The following is a 27,838-nucleotide window of genomic DNA, read 5'->3' as shown; positions in this document are numbered from 1 at the left end:
CCGATGAGTGCTATAACAAAGGTGTTTGAAAGCTTCTCAAGTACAGAAGCTGAGGGATGAGGAGGAATTCATAGTAAAAGTGAAGTATACCCTGGGCCTAGAAGAATGACTTGGGCCAGAGTTTAAAAATATTTGTCTTCGTTACTTGAATGGACATCTTTTTTGCATGCAGATTCTAAGAATATAACCATATATATAGCTGACTGCCCCCCAGAAACAAGCATCACTTGAATGATAGAGGAAAATTTCCCCATACATTACACCATTGTCATGGCTATCTGGGTATCCAAAAGAAATTTCCAAGGGTAAGATTAGTGCCTTGCAGCCTCCACAAAATTTAAAAACTATTGAGAGCAAGAATCATTTCTTATTCAGCTTTCTATTCTTTAGCACATAAAACAAAAATTGTTGTAAACCACATGAAGAATTGGTCTCTTGGTCAGAGACTAGAATTCCCTTAGTTCTGTGGCATGTCCTCTGGGGCCAGAAGTGAATCCTCTCCAATCAGAACTATGTCTGGCTTTTGGAGAACCAATTCTCATTTTAGGAAGACTTCTCCTATGGGATCAAGGTATCCCACCAACAAATTAGGAGCTTTTTAGAGTAGTCCTCACCCTTTGCTGGTCCTTCATTTCCGTAAAGTTTATTAATTTTAAGAAACTCAGGAACTTCCCCAAAATTAACATTCATTTTACTAATGCCCTAAGAAGAGAAGTTGATGGCTGATGTCATTATATTATTTAAATTCGGTTAAGTGCTAAATCCAATGTTACATGAACACATTAATCTCTACTACTCAAGCTATAGAAATCAAGAAGCATTGATATATCTCAAGGTGTTATTGAGAAGATCACAGCCAAGAGACAATACCACCTTAGGTGGTCCATAATCAGGGTGTAATTGGGAAATTTTCTAACTAAAACAGCATAGGAGGTAATCTTAGAGAAAGTACTTGTATTAGTCCATTCTCACACTGCTATAAAGAAATACCTGAGACTGAGTAATTTATAAAGAATAAAGGTTTAATTGACTCATGGTTCCATAGGCTGTACAGGAAGCATGGCTGGAAAGGCCTCAGGAAACTTACAATCATGGCGGAAGGCAAAGAGGAAGCCAACACGTCTCACATGGCGGCAGCAGGAGGAGAAGGGATGAAGGGGAAGGAGCTACACACTTTTAAGCAACCAGATTTCATGATAACTCACTCACTATCATGAGAATAGCACCAAAGGGGAAATCCACCCCCATGATCCAATCACCTCCCACCAGGCCCCATGTCCAACACTGGAATTACAGTTTGACATGAGATTTGGGTGGGGACACAGACTCAAACCATATCAGTAGTCATCAATGGACTTTGTGCTATGTTTTCAGCATAAGAGCTTGTCTAACCCTGGGAAACTTCCAGTTCAGAAAGATTAAAATCATTCCATATCTCACTCAGTTTTTTAAGCATTTGGCTACAGGCTTAGAAATCTGCTCGAGGACCTCAAGCCTAAAGCAGTTCATATCTTTAAACAAAGTGAGCAGGATTTTTGCAGCCTGGGACAGTCTGCATCAGAGCCCAGTCTTTCTAAACCTCTGTCTTCCAGGCTGGTTGGCAATCAACTAGAACTCAAAGGAAATAGAATAAAGGTACTTAGGGCTCCCTAATTAAGGCTCCTAATAACAGAAATAATTTATAATCATTGTTTTAAAAAGAAAGGGGCAATGGGAGACTAAAGATAAAGCAGGACATTTCCACAAGTCTTCCATAACCAAAACTTGGATCAGCTCTAGACAGAAGTCTTGGCATATACTAATATTCTGATTTACAAATAGAATTTTACTACAAGGGCCTAAGATCAATTACTTTTACTGTAATGCATGAAAATATTCATATAGAAATATTACAAGCAACATTTGGGAATCAATGATTTACTAGGACAAATTAGAAAGGATATTTTCCAATGAATTTAGAACTTAAAAGTAAAATTAAGGCCTGACATGGTGGCTCATGCCTGTAATCCCAGCACTCTGGGAGGCTGAGGCAGTCGATCACGAGGTCGAGAGTTCAAGACCAACCTGATCAACATGGGGAAACCCCGTCTCTACTAAAAATACAAAAATTAGCTGGGTGTGGTGGTGCACACCTGTAATCTCAGCTACTCGGGAGGCTGAGGCAGGAGAATCACTTGAACCCAGGAGGCAGAGGTTGCAGTGAGCTGAGATCACACCACTGCACCCAGCCCACATGACAGAGAGACTCCATCTCAAAAAATTTTTAAAAAAGCAAAATTAATTTTTCTAAGTCCAGGGAGGTTAAACTCTTTATATTTATTACGGGTAGGGAACAGAGATGGTCTTTTATTTTCTACGTTTGATTCATTTGAAAAGCTAAATGTTTAGCAGTAGTTCAGCTGTCATTATAAATACATCTACCCAATAAGACCACGGAAAATTGCAGCTGCTGCTGGGTAGGGTCTTCTAAAATGAAATGTAAAGAAGATGGAAATTTAATTCTGATAAATATTGCTAATAAAACAATAATAGCTCATCTTGATGCCACTGTGCTTGGATTTCATTGCTCCCCAGCCAAAGCAGGTATGCGATCCCAGAGCAAGGACCTCTGTGAGTCAATTCTAGGAACGGAAGAATGCATAGCCACAAAATATTATTGTGATATCTTAAATTTGTATGATTCTTTAAGAAACAAAAATAACCAAAATAAAAAAGTTTTCTTATCAATGATTTCTCATAATCCTCTCAATAACACCATGTAGCAGAGAGATCAATTATTTTACAGGTAAGAAATAAAAAGCAGACTTGAATAACTTGTCCAAAGTTCCAAGACCTAATAAATAAAAGTTTTAGAACTAAAACTCAATGCCTTCCAACATGAGGATGAAGAAATCTTTCTGTTACAGCAAACTGCATTCATTTTGTCCATATTCTTAACTACATTAGCAAGTGAACTGTTTTGTCTTCTCCTTGCAATGTTTCATGGAATTCCCCTATTGTTCAAAACAAATGTATTAAAAAGTTGGTTAAAACAAAATAGAAAAAACCTGAAAGATTCTTCACCTGCCTTTTTTACATGTGGAAACCAAGGAGACAAAAAGAGCCACAGGCCTTATTTCTGCTACCAGTAGTTGATTATTGGCGTTTTACATCCTTGATGGCCATATTTGATTTTTTTAAGAGACAGAAAATAAACAAAAACTCTATGTGCTGTTTCCTCTGTTTGCAAGGACTGTGACTTTTGACTCTTATAAATCTACTCAAAGCTAAAGTCTGCAGATTGGGTGTTTCAGGAATGTTCAAAATATAGCTTGAGATTTATAGAGCTGTAAACTTTTCTTGGCTTTTCTTGGTCCATCTTATTTGATAAAACTTAACTAGTAAACAAAGTGGCTGCACATCCTCTACAAAACATCCATTAGGTTATCTGGCTTTATACCCAACTAGAGTTTGTTTGCACAAAGAATTAATGAGAGGGGTTACTGAAGGACTTCAGTCTCTTCTTTCATTCCACTCAGACAAATTGTTTGCAATACCAGTTCCGATGAATGCAAATAAAAGTAATTGATATTCTAACGTATAACATGCTCTTAGAGAGTCTAGCTCCACTGTTAGAAAGGATATTTCTTTCAAAAAGTCTTTTGAGGGCTTGATGTTATAGCTGCTGAAATTTCTATTAGTGTTTATTGAAATTATGGTGCTTCAACTAGAACTGAGCTAGAACTAGAAATTTAAAAACGTAATCTCCTTAAGTAGTATTTCAGCCTTGCTATTTAAAATGTAGCCCTACGATGATAACAGCATATCTTTCATCATGAATGCCGTCATTGAAATTCAAATTGGTTAGAATTAATATAATACATTTCTGTGTCTAGAAACATTTCAAGTTAAAGAAAAGCCTCTGTAAATCTAACACTTCAGTATATATTTTAAGAATTATCCTTGGACCAGAATATTGACTGGTATTGTATTAAAATGGGGAATTGACATGAAAATCCTATGTCATAAAACGATTTGCTGGTTGTCTCATGGTAAAGTCCTTAAAAGAGTTGGGGAATTTGAAGAAGAGTTACATGTTTTTCTTCCACACACACACAAAAAAACAGCTGTTCCAAATTTCTGACCTTTTCTGTAATGAAAAATGCCTGCTTAGCAGTATTTAAACACACACCCATCCTTAATATGTCCCAACGTAAAAGAGGCATTTTTAATAAGAAGTGAGAAAATGATTGTTTTGGAAAATAATTCCTGCTATCAAGACAGGATTTTGAAAACAGATGTTTGGCAATGTTTTCATCATTATGCAACTTTGTTACTGAAAACAATTTTGCTATGTCAATTATAAAACACTCATCTACATACTTTGAAAATTAAATGTTATATATCTCATAGAAACATATAATATGTTGAATTTGTTAATATCTTAGAAGTTTTGCATCTGTGCTTATAATGAAATTGGCCCATAATTTTTTTTCTTGTACTCTCTCTCTGATTTTGGTGAGTTAGCAATCTTCTCTATTCCTCAATTTTTGAAAGAGTACCCAAAATAGATGTTATCTACTTTTTGAGGGTTCGGTAAAAGTGGTAAACAAACATATCTCATTTTGTGTCCATTTTGTGGGTAGCCTGTAGCCTACCAAGTAAGTGATTATGATGGTTTTAGATTAATTCATGGTTTGTTTTTAATTTCTTCTTCTATCAATTTTGGTAGTGTACACTTTTTTAGAAAGTTGGTCAGTTCACCCTGGTATTTGTATAAAGGTCCCTTATGGAACTTGACACTGAGTTTTAATATCTCTGTTCTACATACAGTCACGTTGGGGTTTTAAAATTTTATATTTTTTATTGCCTTCTTTTTTCCTGACGAGTTTTGTCAGATAAATGTCTTTATTAAAACAAAAATAGGTTTTAACTGGGCACAGTGGCTCATGCCTGTAATTCCAACACTTTGGGAGGCCAGGGTGGTAAGATTACTAGAGACTAGGAGTTGGAGACCAGCCTGGGCAACATAGCAAGACCCTGTCTCTACAAAAAAAAAAAAAAAATTAGCCAGGCATGTGGGGATGCCTGTAGTCCCAGCTCCTCAGAAGGTTGAGGCAGGAGGATTGCTTGAGCCCCAGAGTTCGAGGCTGTAGTGAGCTATGATGGTGCCCCTGCACTCTAGCCTGGGTGACAGAGGAAGGTCCTGTCTAAAAAAGAAAAACAAAGAAAGAAATAATGAAGTTGAAATAAAATAAAATGAAATGAAATAAATGAAGTGAAATGAAAAAGAGATATTACATCTACAAGATTTATGTTTCCTTGTTTTAGACTTAATTAATTTTTGTTCTATCTTTACGATTTTCCTCTGCCTACTATCTTGGAGTTTACTTTGCTTTTCTCCTTTTAAGTTTTGGTGTTGACCTTTAGAACATTAATTTTAGTGTATCTTCTACACTATTATAATGAACTTAAGATAAAACTCATGTTTTAAAACTATTTTAATTGCCTTGCACAAGTTTTGATATGTAGTATTTCATTGCTGTTTCATTCTTTCATTTTGGTTTCATCACAATGTAGTGATTTAAAGCACAGTATCTGGAATCAAATTATCTGGACTGTGAATCTTAGCTCCATCATTCATTAGATCTGTGATTTAGTTTCCTCATCAGCAAAATAATAACAATAGAAGTAGAACTTACCCCTAGGGTTTTATGAGGTATATGTAATGCACATATCACAGTACATGACCCATAGTAAGCAACTATTGAAATTGGCTGCCATTATCCTCAATGTCATTCTTATAAACATCATCATTATTAAATCCATGGAACATTTTGGAGAGTGTTGCTTTAAAATTCAAAACATATGAGTTTGGTGGTCTATTTAAAAATATTGTTGCGTTATCTTATTTCCTGTGATCAGACAACATCATATGGCTTCATTGATATCTGTTAAGATGTGTTTTGTGACTTGGTATGTGGTCAAATTTTCTAAAAGTTTCAAGAGTGTGTGAAAAACAATCTCTAACTTGTCTAATTGTTGGAAAAAGTATTATATATATGTGTATGTATGTGTACATATATATATATATATATATATACATTAGACCAGTATTAATTGTGTTATTCCATTTGTCTGTACATGAAACAAAAGTTGAATGCTTGATCTACCAATACATCACAGAGTTGTGTTGCAATCTTCTATGTAGATTTGTTTATTTTTTGTTGAACTTATTTCAATTTTGACTCATGTGTTTGAGGATATGCTTTTAGTTACATACAGATTCAAGACTGCTACATCTTCTTGGAAAATAGATTTATCATCATAAAATAACTTCAGTAAAATTTTTTGGTTTCAAATCAATTTGGCTTATATTAACATAGTATTTTTCTGATACATTTTCCATTTACTTACTTTTAACCTTTCTATGTCATTGTTTTGCTCTGTTTCCTACAAAAAGTACATACATTTTTTAAAAACAATAAAAATCTCTGTATGTTGATCTGTGTTTAATCAGTTTGCATTTATTGAGATAGTTTTATATATTTGTGTTCCTCTCTTTCATTTTGTGTTGCATTGTGCTTTTTATTTTCTTCTTATTTCCTAGCTTCTCATGAATTAATTGAATTATCTTTATTCTGTCTTTTCAATAATGAATGTTCTTTTAGTGAAGATCCTTATTTTTTTTTTTTTTAATTTTGGACATATGTATTTAATTATCTACTAAATCATCCAAATGGAAATCTGTTGTAAATGAATGGAAACAAGGGTCATAAATTTAGGAGAGAGGCAAGTTTTTTAGGCCAGCATTTTTTGTTTAAACCAGTTTAACTTTAGACATTTACCAAATTGGACCATTTATTATAATATTCAAAATATAACTTTTTGCCAAAATAAACAAAACAATTTATCAAAATTGGTTTCCAGAAATTTTCCAAATAATTTTTCAACCTGGTTAAAATTTTCTTACATTTTTTAAAATTTCAAAGTATTTTGGCAAACTTAGTCAAAATACTACATCTTTGTTTTAGAGATAATAGTTTATAAAAATTCATGGACCAGAGTAACCTAAATTGATGTTCATAAGAATTCCTTGCTCTCAGCCCTAATGATTTACACCTTCCCTTTAAAGTGCATAAGTATCATAAAATTAAGTTGTGATTATCAGATATTTTGTATAAAAATTTATGAATTAAACATGTGTGACTTTTTCCCCTTTGTTCTCTCTCATTTTTGCAGCACCTAGATGCAGAATTCATGAAGCCCTAGGGATGGTGAGGCCATGAGATAGAAAGACCTTGGTCCCTGACACTTGGTCCCTGACATATTAAAGATATCTGATCATCTTTAATATGAGCAAGAAATAAACTTGTATTGTGTTAAGCTATTGAAATTGTGAAGACTAGTTGTTACAGTAGCTAGCATTAACTTAATACAACTCTGTATTTACTTTTAATTCACTCTGATGATCTGTTCCTTTAATTAATCTATATAAACCACATAGTGACTAATGATATAGTTGAATTAATATCTACCATGTTTTAATTATTCTAATTATTGCATTTGTTCTTTGTTTCTTTTTATTCTCCTCCTTTTCTGCCTTCTCTGGTTCAGTTGACTATATTACATGGTTCTATTTATCTTCCTCTCTTAGCTTATCAATTATATTTCTTTAAAAATATTTCCAGTAGTTGGCTTAGATTTTCAAGTACACATTTTAAATTAATCTAATTTCACCTTCAAATAACTCTATACTGCTTCATGGGTAATACAAGTACCTTATAATAGACTATTCCCTATTCCCATCCCATATGCATTGCTGTTATTCACTTCACTTACCTATGTACTATAACTCCATATTTTGTTACAATTATTGCTCTCAAGAGTTATCTTTTAATGCAATTGAAAATGAGAAAAGTAAAAGATTTAATTTTACTTTGATCCATTACTTCTTCAACACACTTCTTTTCTTCATGTAAACCCTAGTGATACAGACAGGAGGCAGGGAAATACTGGGTAGAAGAGAGTGGTCCCCGGTGAGGGCAACACCCTCAAGCCTTGACCTGCAGCTTAAAATGAGAGCATGCATTCCTGTTTTCCAATCTAAAGGCTGCCTTTTCCAAATCCACCCTGGCCTGCCCCAGCCCCCATCCTGTACCCATAAAAACCCCAGGCCCTACCAGCAGAGCGGCGTGGCAGAGAAGGAGAGAAGAGAACCAGCATCTGGACATCAGAGAGAAGCAGCTTGGCTTCAAAGGGACAGCTTGATGGCATGACACCCAAATTCCAGGGGAGGACCACCTTCCCACTACATCCCCTTTCCAGTCCCCCTTCCCACTGAGAGCCACTTTCATTGGCAATAAAATCCTCCGCATTCACTACCCTCTAATTTGTTCATGTGACCTGTGACCTCATTCCTCCTGGATGCCAGACAGGACCTGGGTACAGTGCAAGAGGCTGTCACATTTACCCTCCACTGAGCTGTTTAACACTTAAGCATCCACGGTTCACAAAGCAAAAAGAGCACACTGTAATACACACCCTGTGGGGATCTGGGAATCACAGGCAACCCCTAGACGCCGCTGTGGGCCACATGGAGTTCTGCTCCTGCCAGTTCCCCACAAGTGCTCATCCTGGCCACTGCACCCACTCACCTGCATGTTCCCCCTCCCATGAGGGGTTGAGAGCTACGAGCTGAGTAAATGAGCCACCCCCTTCACAAGTCCCGCGAAGGGGTCAAGGGAACAATCTCATTTCACTAGTTTCTGAACTGTATCATTTTTCTTCTTCCTAAAGAACTTCTTTTAACATTTATTTCAGGGCAGATTCGTTGGTGATCGGGTCCCTCAGTTTTTGTCTGGGAAAGTCTTTATTTCTCTTTTACTTCTGAAGAATAATTTCTCTGGATATAGAATTCTAGATGGGGGTTGTTTTTCTTCCAAACCTTAAATATTTTCCTCCACTCTCTTCTTACGTGGTTTCTGATGAGAAAACCACTATAATTCTTATCCCTTCTTTATCTACAAATAAGATGTATTATTTTTCCTCTAGCTTCTTTCAAGATTTCTTTGTCTTTGCTTTTCTGTTGCTTGAATATAATATGCTTAGGTATACTTTCATGGTGTTTTTTGTTGTTGTTTTGTTCGTTTGTTGTTTGTTTTTTCTCTTTCTTGGTGTTTTCTGGGCTTTCTGGAACTGTGCTGCACGTCTGTGATTAATTTTGGAAAGTTCTCAGCCATTATTATGTCAAATATTTATTTTGCTGTGTTCCCTTTTCTCCTTCTGGTATTCCAATTATGCATAATTTATACTTATTACAGTTGCCCCACAGTCCTTGGGTATTCTGATTTTTTCTCCTCCTTCCTCCCTCCCTCCTTTCTTTCTTTCTTTCTCTTTCTTCTTTCTTTCTTTCTTTCTTTTCTTTCTTTCTTTTTCTTTCCCTTTCAGTTTGGAAAGTTCTTGTTGGCCTATTTTCAATCTCACTAGTTTTTTCCTCTGGCATGCCCGCTGTACTGATAAATAGAGTCTTCATTTCTGTCTTTGATTTCTAGCACTTCTTTTATTTTTTTTTCATTTTTTATTTTTGTTGTTTTTATCTCTCAGATTACATTACCCATCTGTTTTTGTATGTTGCCTATTCTTTCCATTAGGACCTTTAACATGTTAATCATAGTCATCTTAAGTTTCCTGTCTGATAATTCCAACATCTGTGTTATATCAAGGTCTGAGTCTGATTCTTACTTTCCCCCTTCAGATTGTGTTTTTCTTGACTTCTGGCATGCTTTATAATTTTTTAAACCCCAGACATGTTGTATGAATGTTTGCTGTAACTGTAGGTGCCACAGGACTCAAATTTCTCTAGTGTCCTTGTTTTTATCTTCATTGTTGACTTTGGGCTTCCTTAAGACTCTTCTTCAGAGACTCTGCATTTTACAGTTCTTTCCATTGTAATACACTGTCGTTATACTGAACCCCTGTTGGTGTGATGCTAAGATATGGGGAAAGTCAGGCATTCTATAATTTTACACATAACTGTGTGCTTAGTGGTCCTGTGCCTCTGGGCTGTGACCTTCATAAGTGCTTCTTCAGTGGTATAATATTTCCCCCTTGGGTGAGACCTGAAGGCTAGAGGTAACTGGATTGAGAATGCCCTTCCCCCAGCTCGGATATACTCTAGTCAACTTTTTTCTCCTCCAGCATAGGTCTTTGTTATGGAGAACTGTCTTGGAGTATCTAGCAAGAATTACTCTTTTGCCCCCACGACAGAGCCACAAGAGAATCTTGGATCTCCACTGTGAGAATCCAGTGAAGTTCCTGGAGTAAAAGCTCATAAAAGCAAGAGGGCCCCATAAAATTGCAACCCCCACAAGTTTTTCACTCTCCTCTAGTTCACACTTAGCCTCCAGCATTTCTTCAAAATTACCATTTAGGTGCTCTTACTGGATTATAATGCCAGCAGCTTCTGCTCCAGGTAAGCAAACCTCAGCTATGACTCCGGATTCACCTGTCTTTCTGAAATTTAGGGTGAAAATTTGCCTTGCAATGTCTATTCTCTGATGGATTCAAGAAAAATCATTGGTTCACAATTTGATTAGCTTTTCCTTGTGAAGACAGACATAACAACTTCCAAGCTCTTTAGACGCTAAAGCTAAAACTGGAAGTCTTATTTTTAGTTTTTTATTCAATTGATAATTCTTCCTATGGCAAGGACTAACTCCTCTTATTTATTACCTATGTGTCGGTCTCACATGTTTTTAATATGTCATGAAATAAGAATATATACGAGTCCTTCTCTCTTGATGTGGGATAAACTTGCCTACGGAAGTTAAACATTTGGGGATTTTCTTAAAAACAAAAAAATCTGGCACAGTGGCTCATACCTATAATCTGAGCACTTTGGAAGGCCAAGGCAGGGAGATCACTTGAGGATAGGAGTTCAAGACCAGCCTGGGCAACATGGCAAAACCTTGTTTCTAGAAAAAAATGGAAAAAAAAAACCCCAAAAAAACAAAAAAAACAATTAGCTGGGAATGGTGGCACGTGCCTGTAATCCCAGCTACTCAGAAGGCTAACGTGGGAGGATCACTGAGATCACATCACTGCACTCCAGCCTGGGCAACAGAGCAAGACACTCCCTGTTTCAAATCTAAAACACTAACAAAGGCTGTATCTAGAAAGTAAGAGTGACCAGAAACAAAGCACTTGGCCCTGCAAGCCACAAAAGAGGAACATTGTCCTTTTTAAAAATTATTTCTAAGCTTAAGATATTAACAAGTTGATTTATGAGAGCGCAAGTGGAAGCAAGGACGGGGATTGGGTTTCTTCAAGCATATTCCTTGTGCCCTTATATGCTCCCCGTGCTGCATTGCCTGAGAGCTAAGAGAGTGTCTTCCAAATGTTTACGGCATGTCTCTGTAATATTTCATTATGTGCCAAGGCAGCCATCCTCTCCTGCAAAGTAGCAGTGTCTGAGAGCAAGTAATCATTTTGAAATAATAAAGCCTATTTATTTTATTAACATTTAAAGTGCATGAGAACATTTATGACCAAACTCATATATAATTATAACCAACAGAATGTGGCATTAATTATCAATACTGCTCCAGGGAAGGATATGTTTATAACATCATAAAGCAGATCTTTCTTTTAAGCCAAAGATATTCATATTTGGAGGGGAATTATTGTGTCATTTAATTTGATCTGCTTTCTGGGGACATCTTTCTGCAATTATCAATTTCTTTCTCTACAGTTTGCATTTTATTAATATTTTATTAATAAAATTATATTCTATACTATGCTGGTAGAAAGTTGTGTTTAACACTGTAAAGTATTACAATTTAGGCGTTACTTGACAAGAATTGGCAGTCTGAATTACATTTCATTTGAAAACAAATATGACATAGTAACCAAAAAAGAATATAACTTAGAATAGTCACTATTCCCTCAAGTAAGGTATGATGACCAAGTAACTAACTATGTGAGCTGGCATGCCTACAAAACCAGTATAATACTACACTAATAATTATAATAAAATGATATTTTCCGCCCTACGCTGCAATGAAAAATCATTGTCTTCTTATTTTCACAACAGGTTTTAATTGGATATTTTTGTTAAGAACCAGAGAATCTCTATAATGGTTGTACAGAATGAAGTGATCCCTAGAGTCCTTTCCAGATTAAAAATTCAATTGTCCTATATTTATAGATAAGGTGAATAAGGAATCTACTGTGGAATGATCCACCCTAGAATTCACAGTCCATAAAGTAGAATCAATTACTGAACTATAAACCTTAAGCACCAAAGCTTTGCAAGTTTAAAATGTAAAAAGGGGTTTTAAAGCATTACTTCACTTCATTAAGATAAGCCCAGTAGAAAATGAATAGGAAGATGTTAGAATTGGCAAAGAGAAGGAGTTTTTCCTGTCACATATTTTTTGAGTTCTTGTCCCAATGCTTCCATTTACTAATGATGTTTCCTAGACCAAGTCTCTGAACTTCCTAAAACTTAGAAAAAAACCTCCCCATTTCCTCATCTGTAAGTGGATCTAACAGTATCTCCATGTGAGCAGTGGCAAGGATTATGTGAGGTAACATGTCACAAAGTTTCAGTACACTGTACAGCATGAAGCAAACCTTTGATAAATATTTCAGTGCTCAGACCCATCTCTTTTTCTTCCTCTCCTTTTAATCCAATGAATAAACATATTTTCCACATAATGTTTAAGAAATTGGTATAAAATTCCCCTTAGGGACTGCATGTATTTAGAAATGCTCAGATTTATAACTATTTTGTTTATTGTTCCAGGGAACACAGTCAAGATTAGCCATGATCCCAGATTCATGATTATAGTTTAATAAGGGAAGCAATGCAGACACACATCCCATTTACAAAAATGAGAGCTATAATGATTACAAAAGTGAGGAGTAAATGAAAGGATCCAGAATTGTTAATATGTCGATGGTTTGGAGGTCATTGGATGTTAATTAGAGAAACTGTCCTGAAAGAAGTGGGCCTTATACTATAATATGAGAAGAAAAGGGATCTGATGAAACAGAGGGAAGCTGTTCTCTAGAGCAAACATTTGGGTTGACAGGGAGTTATCAAGGGCAAGTGGAACACAACTCTTAACTTGGGCATACCCCACCCAGACAGGTGGCTAAGACCCTCATACTACCTAGTGATCACCCAGAATAGTCACGTAGTTACTGCCTGAGTCTTCCCTAAGCCAGAAGTTATCCATGCTATGTGGGCTTTTTTATTTTCCTCACATCTCTCCATTCCATGCAAATGTACCTTTCCTGTATTTAAGTACAGCAATATACTCTTCTTCATTTTTGAAGTAGACTAGGCTCATCTAAAATGATAATATTTACTAACATGAATGTCTTTACCAAGTACAAATCTACATTATCCAAAAACGAGCTGTAATAAAAATTTTAATAAGCTTTCCTGGAGCTATCCTAGAATCCAATAATCAGAAAAAAATCAATTTGTAAACAAAAATGAAAATTTAAAATTGACAGTTTTCCTTTATAAATATGAACTAGCTTATACTTGAGAGATAAAATAAAGATGGTAAAATAATTGCATATATATTTATTTTAAATATTAATTTAATCTGAAATTCTATTAGCATTTACTTAGATAATGAAATACTTAACTGAAAAAAAATCTTACCTTTAGAGATAGCATTTAATAATTTACTACATGAAAAATTCAAATCACAGATGGTATAAAACAATCAAATGCAAAACAATTTTCCTTGAATTTCCAGACTGCTTCAGAAACACAAATAGAGGTTAATTTCTGTGCTCAAACATCATGCTCGAAACTGTCTACAAGTATTATCATGAAGGAGCATAATCTCAAAGCATTACCTAAAAACAATATGCTTGAAAAACCATCTACAGCTATTTCTTATCCGAGAAAAACAAAGAGCACGTACTACATAAGGCAGCAAAATGCCAGAGGTTAAAATTGAAAAAAGAGTACATGTGCATTTTTCTCTTTGACAATTTTTAAATATTAGAATGTTTATTCTTACTTTTAAAAGATAGATGCAAACCTCACTGAATTTAGTATTTTCATTACAAACATCTAGCAGCTTTCAGTAAACAATTAAATTATAACTCTTATTTACTCTTATATTGATAAGCAATCACACACAGCAAGCAAACTCAAACAAGAGGTAGGAGACACAATGACCCCAGCTAGTAAATATATTTGCTCTCTAATTAACATCTGAAGACTTCTAAGTTGTTATAAATTCATATATGCATTTTACATTCCAGCTTTAGCAAATGTGAGTCAGAGATGTATGAGGATGTGACAAAAGCCTCCTCCTGAGGCCACTGCTAAATCTAAGATCATCATCCTCTTGCCTTTGAAGGCTGGAAATGGGGAGACTCCATCACAAACACTTTTCTTCTGTGAGCTTAATCGATGCCACCTGTCCATCTAATACATTTCAGGAAATGACAGCCCTGCTGGGTGGATGCTAAGCCATTGTGACTTCATATTTCTGGCTGAGAAGTTTTGTTTGGATTTTTTTATAGACCTGTTAACCCTTGATGGATTTTACAGTCCTGCAGCACTGAATATAAACTATGGATTTTTAAATTGGGAGTGGAAAGTGTTGTTGGTGGGCCCACTGTGGATCAAAAGTCTTGCATGTATGTGTTTCCTTTGACCCAGAAACTCTAGGTCTGGAAATATAAAGGAAAGAATGGAGAATAAATATATAATTATGTGGATCTTCATTGCAGAATGATTTACAAAGGGAAATATTGACCTCAAATAACGTGTTTAAAAGTTACATCAAAGTAAAATGTTGTAAAATACAAGATGAATAGACTATTTTGCAGTCCCAATAAAAGTAATATTCTTAACATATTCATTCACATTGAAAATATTCATGCAATAGTTAGATGAAAAAGTGAGGTACAAAATGGTAGGTTAAATGTGATCTCATTTTTATTGCAAAGAATATGTGTGTGTGTGTATATATATACATGTATATGTACAATGCCAATCTCCAGAGAGAACTACTGTTTTATATATACATATACATACATACACTAAACTAATAAAAGTAAAATTAAATTACATTTGACCCATTTAAATTAATATAAATATATATGTCATATCATGAAAAAAACATCAGATTTAGAGGAAAGAAAAATATGTTCATATATGACTTTCTTGCTAAATTTCCGGGTGATCTTTGACAAGTAACAATTATAGTTACCATATTCATAAAATAAAATTAGAGGAGTAGACGATATCTGAAAGACCTTTCAGTTCTAATATTCTATCAGCAACCAGAAAATCCTTAATTTGGCTTAGAGCTTTGACTTCCTTCAACCATGCAAGACCCCACACCAGTTTCAGCAATGGTGTACCAGTTCCCCTGGACAGGGACTATGTCTTGCAAAAATATTTACTCTTTAAATAAGTCTTCATCACATAATAGCAGCTCAATAAATAATTGGAAATAAATCATTCTCCTAGCTATAGTCATATTTTCCTGAGCTTAGAAAAACTGTCCCAAGGTATTTTTTAAGTTTTATTGACTCATTACAAATAGTAATGACTAATCCAGTGTAAGATCTAGTGCTAATGTAAAAGCAAACTATAGCAAGACAGTAAGCCATTCCATGTTCTCTCCACATGAAAGAATGTGGCCTCCAAAAGCCACTGAACACCACAGTTCTTATGTTCTGTTAAAGCTGTACATCTTCCATATTGGCTCTATTTGATTCATGTTTTTGGTTTTGCCCTTTCTTTGTTCTTCAGAGGAACACAGAATTGTTTTGGTAGCTTAATCAGCAGAAGAACATAGAATTGTTTTGGTAGCTTAATCAGCTTCAGAAGAAGCCACAATAAGTGTACTGGTTAAAATGTTCAGTCAGCACATCTGTCAGCATGTTTCAAGTGAAACACGAAAGACTACATGGCTGCAGTCATAGCTTTAGGAGCGAGCAAGCCAAATGGGTAGCTACAGCACCCCAAGGTAGAAAAGCAACAGGCAAACAGGAAACCCCACAGCAGATAACTTCCCAGCTGACCAGGAACAGGGCAAAGTCGAAATGGTAAGGGAAGATTAGAAAATGAAAAGCCATCCCGGCACTAAACTGATGTAAATCACATTCTTTATAATTCCTCTATGATTGTTTTTATTTAATTTGGGGTTGCTGAATGTAAAATATGGCTTACATTAATCAAATTAATAAAAACTTTCAATTTTCTAGTTACCATGTAGTGCTTAATACATTGAAAATGTGAAGCAAAACTTAAAATATTTATTTAACTAAAATTGTATTTACTTTTGAAAATAATTTCCAGGAAAGAGATCAACTACTAAAATAAATGCAGCTATTTTAAGTAGAAAGATACATCCATAAGGAGAAAAAAAGTGTGTGAAGGCATTGTAAACATTGTAAATGTTTTCCAAGACTTTTAGTATAAGAACATGAGTTCAGCTCATGGATGCCTTTGATACATCACACTATTATCATAATGGACTTTAGTTTGAAAACCTTTTGTGGCTTAAGCATAAACAGTTATGTAAGTCAAATCAGAAATGTCCAAAAATAATCTTAGCTATGTGTAGAGCCTCCAAATATTGTATGTGTGTAAGTACCAGATACAATTTCTTTTTCTTTTGGTACGCTATTATTTATAAACTCATGTAAATATTTATAATTGTGGCTATGCAAAAAATACATAACAATGTCTCGAATAAATGCCTCCTTGTGAGAAATAAGCTACGGCACTTACATTACATTATATACATTTGAGTCTGTTATATGGCATACAGAAGAATATAAAATGTCAGGAAGTAAACGAACTTCCTAAGAAATCACCTTTAAAATATATTTGATCTAAGCTGCATGCAATTTGAAGAATACTGCTGATCCATCATTCTAGTTATAATGCTGCCTCTTCCATGAACATCTCAATTCACCATCTGGAAGTAATCTCATCCTCCTCCAAGCTGCCTCAAAATTTTATTTTCATTTCCTCTCTCCATGTTCTCACTATCATGTTATATACCACTAAGATTAATTTGGAAAAATCCATCTTTTGCTAGACTATAAACTCCTTGAGGGAAAATGATGCAACTTGAAAATATTTGTAAATACCATCCACACACATCCATTTCTTACTATCTCTTAGTAAGTGTTGATTGAATGAATTCATACATTTTTCTTCCTGGACAGCTCTAAGCTAGAGGAGTAGTAAACTTTATAGCTTTTGTTTTGATTTTCTCTCAGGATGAAATGCTTTGGAGATCCCAAATCCAGTAAAAGACTCCAAATAGAGCTGACAAAAGGTATCCAATTTTCACTGAGTTATCTGCAGAGGGGCATCTCTACCTGGCCCCAAGCAGTGTCTTGCAGTTCTCAGCCATTTCCATGTATGACTTGTCACTAGTGCACATTTTATCATCAAAAAAGAAATTCCATTCCTGTGAAAAACCTGGAAGATACAGCCATGACTAGTCAACAAAAGGGGACAAGAAGTTTGGAGTAAAATGCAATGATAAAGTAGGGCCATGGTTTCGTTGAGGCCTGGTCTGCTGAAGAGTGGACAGCCATATTGGTATCCAAGTTAGATGTCAGTAGAGCACAGCAGAAAGAGCGCTTACTGGACTGGGGTTGGAGCCTGGATCCCAGCTCTTACTTGCCACTTGGTAATTTTTTTATTTTAATTTTTATTTTTTTTGTGTGACAGAGTCTCGCTCTTTCGCCCAGGCCGAGGTGCACTAGCGCTCTCAGCTCACTGCAAGCTCTGCCTCCCAGGTTCACGCCATTTTCCTGCCTCAGCCTCCCGAGTAGCTGGGACTACAGGCGCCCACCACCGCTCCTGGCTAATTTTTTGTATTTTTAGTAGAGACGGGGTTTCACCATGATAGCCAGGATGGTCTCGTTAGCCAGGATGGTCTCGATCTCCTGACCTCGTGATCCACCCGCCTCGGCCTCCCAAAGTACTGGGATTACAGGCGTGAGCCACCGCCCCTGCCGCCACTTGGTAATTCTTGACTCAAGTAAGACCAATTAACATCACTTGGCCTTGGAGTATTCTAAGTCTTTTATTTTATAAATTGAAGAGGTTAAACTCAATGTGCTCTGATGTTCCTATAAACTTCTATGATCAGAAATCAAATATTTCGTAAGCCTCTTGGTAACTATTCAAATCTAAACAGTATTTTTAGGATTTTCTTAAGCATGGTATCTGAGTCTGAAACACATGGTAATAAGAGCCATAGTAATAGTGATAATAATGATGATAATAAAATAGCTGTCATTTATTTATCTGCAAATATTCATAAGGGCCTAGCTTGTGTCAGATGCTGTTCTAGGCAATGAGGGCACGGGAGAGAAGGACACATACCTGAGTTTGGGGAGTTTATATTCTAGTTTAGGGAGATGACATTTAACAAGTGTAATACAGCATGTCTAATTGTGATAAGGACTCAAAGAGAAACAGTACAAGGATTGGCAATGAAGAGTGCTGAAAGGCATTTCAGAGCATTCTTTAAAATACTTATTAGGAGCCATGAATTTTACAGGGATTCTCTCATTTCATCCTAACAATAATCTTATAAAAATTATTATCTTATACCTACTGTACAGATGAAAGAAGTGGGCTCAGAGACATCAATGAAATGGCTCAGGGTCACACAGATCGTTAAGTAGTGAAACTCTAGAGCCCAAGTCCTAACCATTATGTGGTACTGCTTTCTACCAGATGATACAATACAAGTCTCTAACGATCTCATAAACCAATATAAACACACAGATTCTGTACACTCAGAGCTCCTTTTCTTTCCTGCTGTGTTTATCCATAAAACCTATTGAAAGTGTTAATATTATTAGGAGGTAGCATCCTGGCACATATGATTTTTTCCTAAATCAGTGCATCTTGGGCAATGTTTGAAAAGCAGCACATAATAACCACAATTAAAAGACCAAAACTTAACAAGAGAGAAAAATCATTACAAAGACTTCATGGCATGTTCCTCAACTGTACTAGGTTGGTGAAATATTCTATACAGATGGACCCTAGGATACCAAAATTATATTTGTGCATTAGTCCTGTTCAAGGAAATACAAATCACATTTCAATGCAATAAAATAATTAACACCAGAGACTGTAATAGAATCAAATTTCACATAGAGCAGGGACACACAAGGGTAACATAGTGAAATGGTTAAATGCATGGATTCAGTACTCAAATACATGTTCCAGCTTGCTCTGTCACTAACTCTACCTTCTTAAAAGCCTACTATCTTCTCTGAATGCTGGTTTTCTTATCATTATGATAGTAATAATAATAGTATCAATCTTATATGTTTTGTGAGAATTAAAAGAGTTAATGCATGTTAAAGGCTTAGCTCAGTACCATCAAACAGGAAATGTACAATAAATCTTATTTATTACTGTTATTATCATGAATGGATGTGCCACCTTGAGCAAAGGGGATTTGAATGCTCAGAGAAGTAAAAGGTCTGACACTTAACAGGATACCTGATGTTATTTTTCCAAGAACCTATCTACACATGAGTGTTGAAGGAACCACTACTCCCCCTTCCCAAATTGCTGCCTCGGGAATATATTTAGAAACTAATTGTTAACAGTAGCAGCATATCCAAACAAAAAGGGCAATGACATAACTTTGACTCATTTCTGTACATTTATATAAATAATTCAACTAATGAGTGTCTTACAAGAAGAAAGAATGAAGATGACGCCACTGGTATGTAAAAATATTCATATCAACTCAGCCCCTTTTGTTAACTCTCAATAGCTACTGATTATCTGATTATTCCTTCTCATCTGTGTTTGGATGACTTCAAGGCACTTCCCAGCAAGTAAACTCATAATATTAAAGCAATGTTCTTTCCCAATTTATACCAGATTTCATCCCATCATATCAACAGCCCATATAGCCAAAGAAAGGGCTTTCTTACACATGGTTTCCATGGTGTTTATGCCTTTCTATCCTAAACAGACAGATGCATTAAGCAATGCATGTCAATCCCATTATGAGGCTGTGAAATGGGCAGAAGTTTTGTTACACACTCATGCAATCACACACATTGTGAACATCCTGTTTATTTGGCTCATCCTCTGATGATTGGCTGTGGTATATCAGCACATTACTGACAGCTGGGAATTTCTCCAGTGGAACATGCCTTTCCTATGACAAACATCCAACGAGCAATGGGAACATGTGTCTGCCCACTGTGCCCATACAAAGCAGCCCAGTTTCTCCAAATGCAGAGCATATTGGGTGCTTGGATTTTCTCAGAATGCCACCGACAGGCCCCTGGTGACCTTTAGGGGCCATATGAGATAATACATTCTTAGACTCCTATTTCCGGACTGCTTTGGGCAAGGTCAGGATGGCAAATGTCCCACTTCCACAATATCAGATGTTACGGTAATTCCTTTTAGCTAATGTGTAAGAGCAAAGGAATGCCTTCAAACCTCATCTAGGCCCTGTGGAATCTGTTGAAAATGCATGACAGCTGTGGGCTTTGGCGAGGTTGTCTGTGAATGTATGAGATTTGGAAACCATTCAAAGCTAGAAATAACTGTACAACTCATAACCCTTCACCACTGCTCACTCTCTCTCTCTCTCTCTCTCCCCCCTCTCCCCCCCCTCCGCCCCCCGTCATGTCATTCTCTCTTCCCATCACTCATTTCTCATGCACTGTATCTGGGTCACAATCTCATCCTCCTGACTCAAATGCATCATCACTGCTGGGAACTGTGGATAACATCCTCCACACAAAAAGATGGGAAAAGAAGAAAGAGGCAGGGGTGGCAGTGGGGGCAACAGAAGGATTTTAATAACGCACAAGAACAGGAAATTGAGAAAGATCTTTTTTTTCAGTATCCAACTGGGAGTTGAGAAGCAGCAGCAAACTCACACTTATTTAAAGGCCCATCTGCAGGTAGAATCATCCTCGGGTGCTCGAATGATGTGTAAAGGCACTTGTTTTCCTAAACCTGAATAATACTTTGAAAGGCTATGGCTATTTATACTTCACTTTTGAAACTTGTATGTGTATTTTATGCACCTCACCATTAACTCTCACAGCAAAAGAGTTTGTGAGTGACATTTTTGAGAAAAGTAGGATAATTAGGAAAAGGAACTGAGAGAAAAGGGGTCAAGCTCAAAAGCCGGCTTTTTATTCAAATGACTTATACCCAACTACACTATTGATTCTGACCTCAGAATTCCTACTCTTGAAATTTTGACTTAAATTATCATCTCCAGATTCAAAGACTCAGCAACCTGGTTCATAAACAATGTGACACCCTGGTAATCACTGGCTTTTTTCCTGTAACTTCTGCTACTTCTACATAGATTTAACATACTACCTCTTGGCACAATCAGGTTGTTCCAGCAGTTTTTACTTTCTAGTTAAACCCAGGTTTTTCACATGGTGGCTGTGGGTCAGTCATTGACCATAATGACTTTTCAGCAGTCTAAGCTAAGAGGCACATTATCCACAGTTTAGCCAGGATGGAGCTTTACAACTAATGAATTATTTTGGCAGTTAATATTATCCCACTGATACCCTAAAATGAAACAAAAACACATAGATAACATTAAAACAACTAATTTAGAACATGGGAAACTATGTAAAGAAGGAAAAAAAAACCTTCCTATACAGAATTTTGCTGCATGCTCTCATGAATTTCATTAGCTACACGGATCTAATTGAGTGTTGAGAAGCAAAGGAAAAACAGGTCTGCCATCCATACACTAACGCTTACGGCATCTAACGCAAAGGAGAGATCCCCATAGAAACTCACAGAGAAGGCCACAGATGCTCCCTCAGGGGCATTCACTCTTACATTTAGATCATTTCTAATTAGCTATGTTATCTGGATTCCCAGGCCACGATGAATTAAAAACTGCACTAGAGGAAGACAGGGATCTAGGAGAGGGGAGCGTGCTGGCAACAGGCAGGGGCACAGCTGGTCAGCTCACAGCAAGAGAAAAGAGCAGCATGATTGTCAGGGTATTTAGGAAAGAGGCCCCAGAACATTATAATATCACACAGAACAATAATGGATGTGTATAATGTTGACCCTGGGTCAGCAGGGAGAAGATGCATTCTGTATAAGAATCCAGAGAACTATACAATATGTTTTAGGTATATTTATATCAAAACAATTTAAGTTATAAATTTTGGTACTTCAAAGGAGTTGATTTCCTTTATGTCTAAAATGAAAATACATGAAATACTTCTCCGTCTCCAAATAACAGATTTTATTAAATCACTGTATTTAAATACAGAAGACTTATACATAAAATTTAATATCAGTGTCTCTTATTTTTTTTTGCTCAGACTCCACAAGATACACATTGCATGCCATTGTCTTTAATTAAACACGTCCTAAATAACTTCAAGAGTATCCTACCACAGCCAGGCATGGTGGCTCACATCTGTAATCCTAGCACTTTGGGAAGCCGAGGTGGGCAGATCACTTGAGGTCAGGAGTTCGAGACCAGCCTGTCCATCATGGCGAAACCCTGTCTCTACTAAAAATACAAAAAATCAGCTGGGTGTGGTGGCGTGCGCCTGTAATCCCAGCTACTCAGAAGGCTGAGGCAGGAGAATTGTTTGAACCTGGGAGGTGGAGGTTGCAGTGAGCTGAGATCACGCCATTGCACTCCAGCCTGGGTGACAGAGCTAGACCCTGTCTCAAAAAAAAAAAAAAAAGAAAGAAAGAATATCCTATCACAAAAAGAAATCTAAAAAATTGTGAAAGTATCACTCTATACACATACACACACACATGTACACCACACCAACGACATGAACACTGAAGGAGTGTACCTTCAATGTCAGTTTCACAAAGGGAAGGGCAATGAATTAGTCAAGCAGAGTGAGGTGACGAGCATTTCACATGAAGGACATTCACAGGCAGATTCAGGAAGGAGGTAGAAATGCTTAGGAATTAGTTTGTCTAGATGAAAGGCTAGGTGCTTGTCCTCCTGTCTCATCATGACTTCCCTCTTTTCTCAACTTCTCAGTGCTCACTCTTCCTGGTGCTGACATTCTCATGCCTTGTCATAACATCAAGGCTATATACCAACCTGGCTCTCATTCTGTAGCTATGACTCCACCTACTGCTAAGCTCCTTTTGTAAATTCTGCAGTGGACACCTTTGGGATTGTCTACCAGCACCACATCCCCTTATTCTGATAACTGCCCTTCACCCTATTGCTTTAGCTTCCTAAGGTTGCCACAGTAAATGACCACAAACTGGGTGATTTATTACAGCAGAAATTAATTATCTCTCAGTTCTAGAGGCTGGAAGCCAGAAATCAAGGTGTCAGCAGGGCCATGCATCCTCTGAACCTATAGAGGAAAATCCTTCCCTGCTTCTTTCAGCTTCTAATGTCCCCCCAGCATTCCTTGGCTCCTGTCAGCATAACCCCAAGCTCTGCCTCCATCTTTGAATGGCCTGTTCTGTGTGTGTGTGTGTCCTCTCTTCTTATAAGGATGCCAGCCATTGGATTTAGCACCCACCGAAAGCCCAGTACGACTCATCTCAAAATTCTTAACTAATTGCATCAGCAAGACTCTATTTCCAATTAAAGTCACATTCTGAGATCCCAGGTAGACATAAATTTGCAGGGGACACTTCAACCTACCACACCTATCCACATAGTTACCACCAAATCAACCACATTTTACAGCACAATTCTATATCTCAGCTATGCATAAATATTTCAACCATAGACTTCAGTGGAAACAAATTGATCTGCACTCAACAGCCATTCTTCTCTTCTTCCCTAGTCTGGTAGATACCTACCTCCAAATTTAGCTGGTAAAAGATCCAGATACTTGCTTTTCCAAGCTCCTTGCAGTCAGAAGTGATCTGGCTTCATGGGACTCAGTCCAACCACTGAAACAAAGGAGAAAATTCAACAGAAACTTGATTTACCAGGAAGTTTAGAGGCCAACATTCGTAATGACTCCAGTCAAAGCCCTGTGCCCCATTTTTAATTTTAATATTTTTCTGGTTTTCTTAAAGAAGATCCCAAAATTGTATTAGGTTCAGATCCCATTAACCCTGAAATGCAGTTATTTCTCTCCAAATAAAAAGAGAATGTCACACAAGGAGAGTTATTTTTCCTGCCTCTTTTCTGCTTCATATGCTACCATAAGGATATGGTTATGACAACAACGGCATTAATGCTTCTACCCACACAGAATGCTAAAAGAATCCTAGATAATCTGCCCCTTGACATTTAGCCCTGACCAACTCTAGAACCCCTCCCTCTAAACTTCTTGTTATGTAAGAAAAATATACAATAAGAGGTTATTCATGTTTTTTGTTGTGCAGCAAAAAGCATCCTAATACTATTGGTATGTCTTGACCTAGGCAGGGACAATTAGTACCTCGTCCTGATTTTTGGACTCAAGAGCCAAAGAGTCATGCCAATGTGACTCTGTTGACTGAAATCATAAGCTATAAAATTTTGGAAATTTTGGTTACCTGAGTTCTTGCCACATGGAAAAAACTCTTTAGAAAGAGATAAGAATGAGCTTGACATATGGAGAAAAGAAGCACGGCTAAGAGACAGGGAAACAAGCTTGATGCTGGAGTTTGGTTCTCGATACTATAAAAGATATTGACCTTTCTCCAATCATGGTTGTCCCATTCTTTCATAGCTTAGCCTTCCATTAAAATCCCCTCTTTTGCTTAAATCAATTCAAGTGGGATTTTGTTCACTCATAAGTTAGCCAAATTAATAAAGCTTCTTTTTCTTCTCCAAGATGTTACCATTCTCTAACTGTCCTTTTCTTCTTTTATTTTTCTTTGCCTTATTCCAAGGAGCCTGAATCCTATCCAATGACTTCAAATATCCTTGTGATTAAAAGGAAGCTTTGCAGTCAGATACACCTGGGTTCACTTCCTGGCTCTGTTAGCAAGTAACCATCTCAAAGCCTTATTTATATGATCTCAAAGAGAAGGATTGTGGTAACAGCAACCTCATGTGGTTCTAAGGACTAAATGAGCTGGTACATGTAAAATATTCAATAGAATCATTGACACATAGGAAACACTTATGAAATGTATTGATTACCACCACAGAGGCAAATATCATTATTATAATTCTGAACCACAATGCAGAAATCATTCACTAACCCTAATCTCTGCCTTGACCTCTAATCCTGTAACTCTTATTTCCTTCTGAACCTTCCCATTAGTATTTCCTAATTTCCTCTTAAACTAAACTGATTCTTACTCTTCTTCCTTCCCTCACTCCTCTCCCGCCCACACTGCAATTCACATTTGCCATTTGGTGGTGGTTGTTAATTACCCTGTCACAGAGATGTATAAAACTTATTCTTAAGTTTAAGAAAGCAAGGATTATGAATTACAGTTATTTGCATTTTCGTACTTAGTTTAGCTGTTCAATTTTTTTTTAAACAATACTCTATAATCTTGAATCTATTGTGCACAGATGGTGGTTGAAAAAACAAATAAATTACTTTCATACTCATAAAATACTTTTTTTCTATGAGGAGATATGACATATGGGCAAAGTATTATAGCATTTCTCACATTTTTCCAGACATTACAAAAAAAATGCAGTGTTTAGAGATTTCAGAATTATAGATCACTCCTAGTCCAAGTAAAGTTTCCTTCAGAAAGTATTACCTTCAGGCCTGTGTAAGAATATCCTCCTTTGGGCCTCACACTTTAGAGAGTGCCACACATTATGAACATACAAACCCAAATTTATAACAGAATACGTGGATATATCGTCACCTGGGGTCCAGCAAGCAGAGCCCAATCTGTGGTTTTAAATGCAGGTTCTCATGTCAAACCTCCTTCAAGTCCCAAATAATCAACTCTTCAAACCTCTTGTCATTTGTCCCCAGAACAAAAGATGACTGCATGAAAATGGTATGAAATGGCATGAGGCCAGCTGCTGCTGACTTCAGAGATGATACTACTTTGTTATATGGGAAAGATGTGAGCAGCAGAAGAGTTAGGTAAGAGAAAACACAAATTAATTAACTTGTACAGTTCTTCTTTTCAGTATGGGTGCAAAGGATTCTTTATAATGAAGCATCTTTCCCAGCTGTTGCTGGGCTATTCTTCTCCACAGGTTCCAGGTGTGGCATGTGGACACATTCATACTTTAGTAAATTAGTATGTTTGCAATAGGAGCACATAGAAGCTGAGCAACAGTCTGCAATATTAAACATTTAAAATTTTTAAGAGCTAAACAACACAGAATAGCCAAATATGCTCAAAAATACACGTAGTAATCTTGGATACTTTGCCAACTTTTAGAAAAATAAACACCATAGCCTTACACATTTTTAAAATTTTGAAATTGTATAGCTATCAGAGTTTTCAGCTAAACTTGTATCTTTTAAATATTTATACAAATAGTATGTAGATTTCATTCATACTTCAATCCTAGGCCTCGCAACCTTGCAAGTGTTAAGAGTAAGTCTATTAACTTACTCTTAATAAGGCACTTTGTGGATTCAAGACAACTTTGAAACATAGGGAACAGTTGAAAGTTAGGACTGGCAATACTTAAGGAGGGACCACTAAAGAAGAGAAAGACACAAAGCTGGAATGCCCAGGCTATACTAGAATGTGGGGTCCATGAGACCATGAAATGTGTCTGGTTTTTGTTTTGCTTGTTTTAATGGATCTTTGGAGGCCAGAATAGTGTCTGGCACATAGCAGACACTCAAAAACACTCACTGATTGAAGGAATTAATGAATGATAGCAAGAGTCAAATTTTTGACTAGAGCATACACTATATAGAAGAACAGTGGGAAATAAGGCTTACAGGAGCAGATGATGGGCTTCAGAAGAGAGTACAGATGACTTTTTATTAATTCATCAGTAAGTTGAGCAACATTTTGTGATAGATGTTGACAGGCATTATCTCCCCTCTATCCTGTCTTCAAGATGAGGTCAACTTTGTTCTGAGGCATGGAAATCTTCATGGAAAGGAGTAAAGAGGTTACTGGGAAAAAAAGAAAGGAGAGAAAAGTTGTTTGAAGGATCTTCAGGAGACTTTTCAGACAAGTTTAGGTGTGCCTCTTGAAGTTTTACTTGCATAAGGGCTCAACACACTCCTGGTGAGAACAGCTAGAAACTCTTTAGAAATAATTGTGAGCTCCGGGACTGAGATGTTTAGACAAAGGGGAGGGATAGAAGTCACCTCTTCACCTCTTGGGGAGTGTTTCCACAAAACAGAAGAAACTCATCTTGAGTCATGGTATGTTACAGAGCTGTGTCCTTGTCCAGAGAAAGTGGTCAACACAAGGATCACAAGGGAGCATAACATGGAGTGCAATATTGCCTGGATTAATTCACTGTTCCCTCTGATTCAGTCCTTGAGGGAAATTTGCTAAGTTCCTCATAATAGAAAAGCATTAAAAAGAAATAAAAGAGTAATTCAAATTGAAGAGTCAAAACATTAAAGGCAAAGGGAAAAAATAAGAGAAGTTTCTCTACAGAACCTATCAAAAGATTGTAATGCAGCACAGAAGCCTGTTAGCGCAAAACTCTTTAAAATTATGAGAACAGAAAAAGAGAGCAAATTACATGAAAGACTCACTTCTCCCAAATAGTCTAAGTTAATTGTTCCAGTTTTAAAGTTTTCTCCTCAGCCAAGTTTCTGTAGAATTTCCACTTTTAGTTCATATATATTTTTCTTGCTAAAACTGAGGCTTCAGTATATGCCTCTTGACCTGGGTTCACATTTTATAGCCGAAAAAATATATGAAACCTCGAAGGAAATCATAGCCAAATTGTTGAATTTTAGTTGGTTTAGG

The 27,838-nt window shown here is 36.6% G+C and overlaps 1 long non-coding RNA gene across 2 annotated transcripts in view, besides 1 other annotated feature; it reads right to left on the bottom strand.

Moving 5' to 3' along the window:
- The window catches only part of LINC01091 (long intergenic non-protein coding RNA 1091), a 280,788-nt gene that overhangs the window by 77,761 nt on the left and 175,189 nt on the right, over nucleotides 1-27,838 (bottom strand). For both annotated transcript variants that reach the window (NR_027105.3, NR_027106.2), the window contains one exon: nucleotides 23,831-23,923. This is a non-coding gene — a long non-coding RNA (long intergenic non-protein coding RNA 1091). The remainder of the gene's footprint in view (nucleotides 1-23,830; nucleotides 23,924-27,838) is intronic.
- Nucleotides 20,290-20,584: a silencer, noted in NCBI's record as "tiled region #6240; K562 Repressive non-DNase unmatched - State 24:Quies". NCBI's record gives its function as "represses a minimal TATA promoter and a strong SV40 promoter by Sharpr-MPRA in K562 cells {active_cell/tissue: K562}" and the evidence as "EXISTENCE:reporter gene assay evidence [ECO:0000049][PMID:27701403]".

Source organism: Homo sapiens, chromosome 4 (assembly GCF_000001405.40).
Source record: "Homo sapiens chromosome 4, GRCh38.p14 Primary Assembly".
Taxonomy (NCBI): domain Eukaryota; kingdom Metazoa; phylum Chordata; class Mammalia; order Primates; family Hominidae; genus Homo; species Homo sapiens.
The sequence above is the reverse complement of the archived record's forward strand: the minus strand, read 5'-3'. Positions and strand labels throughout refer to the sequence as shown.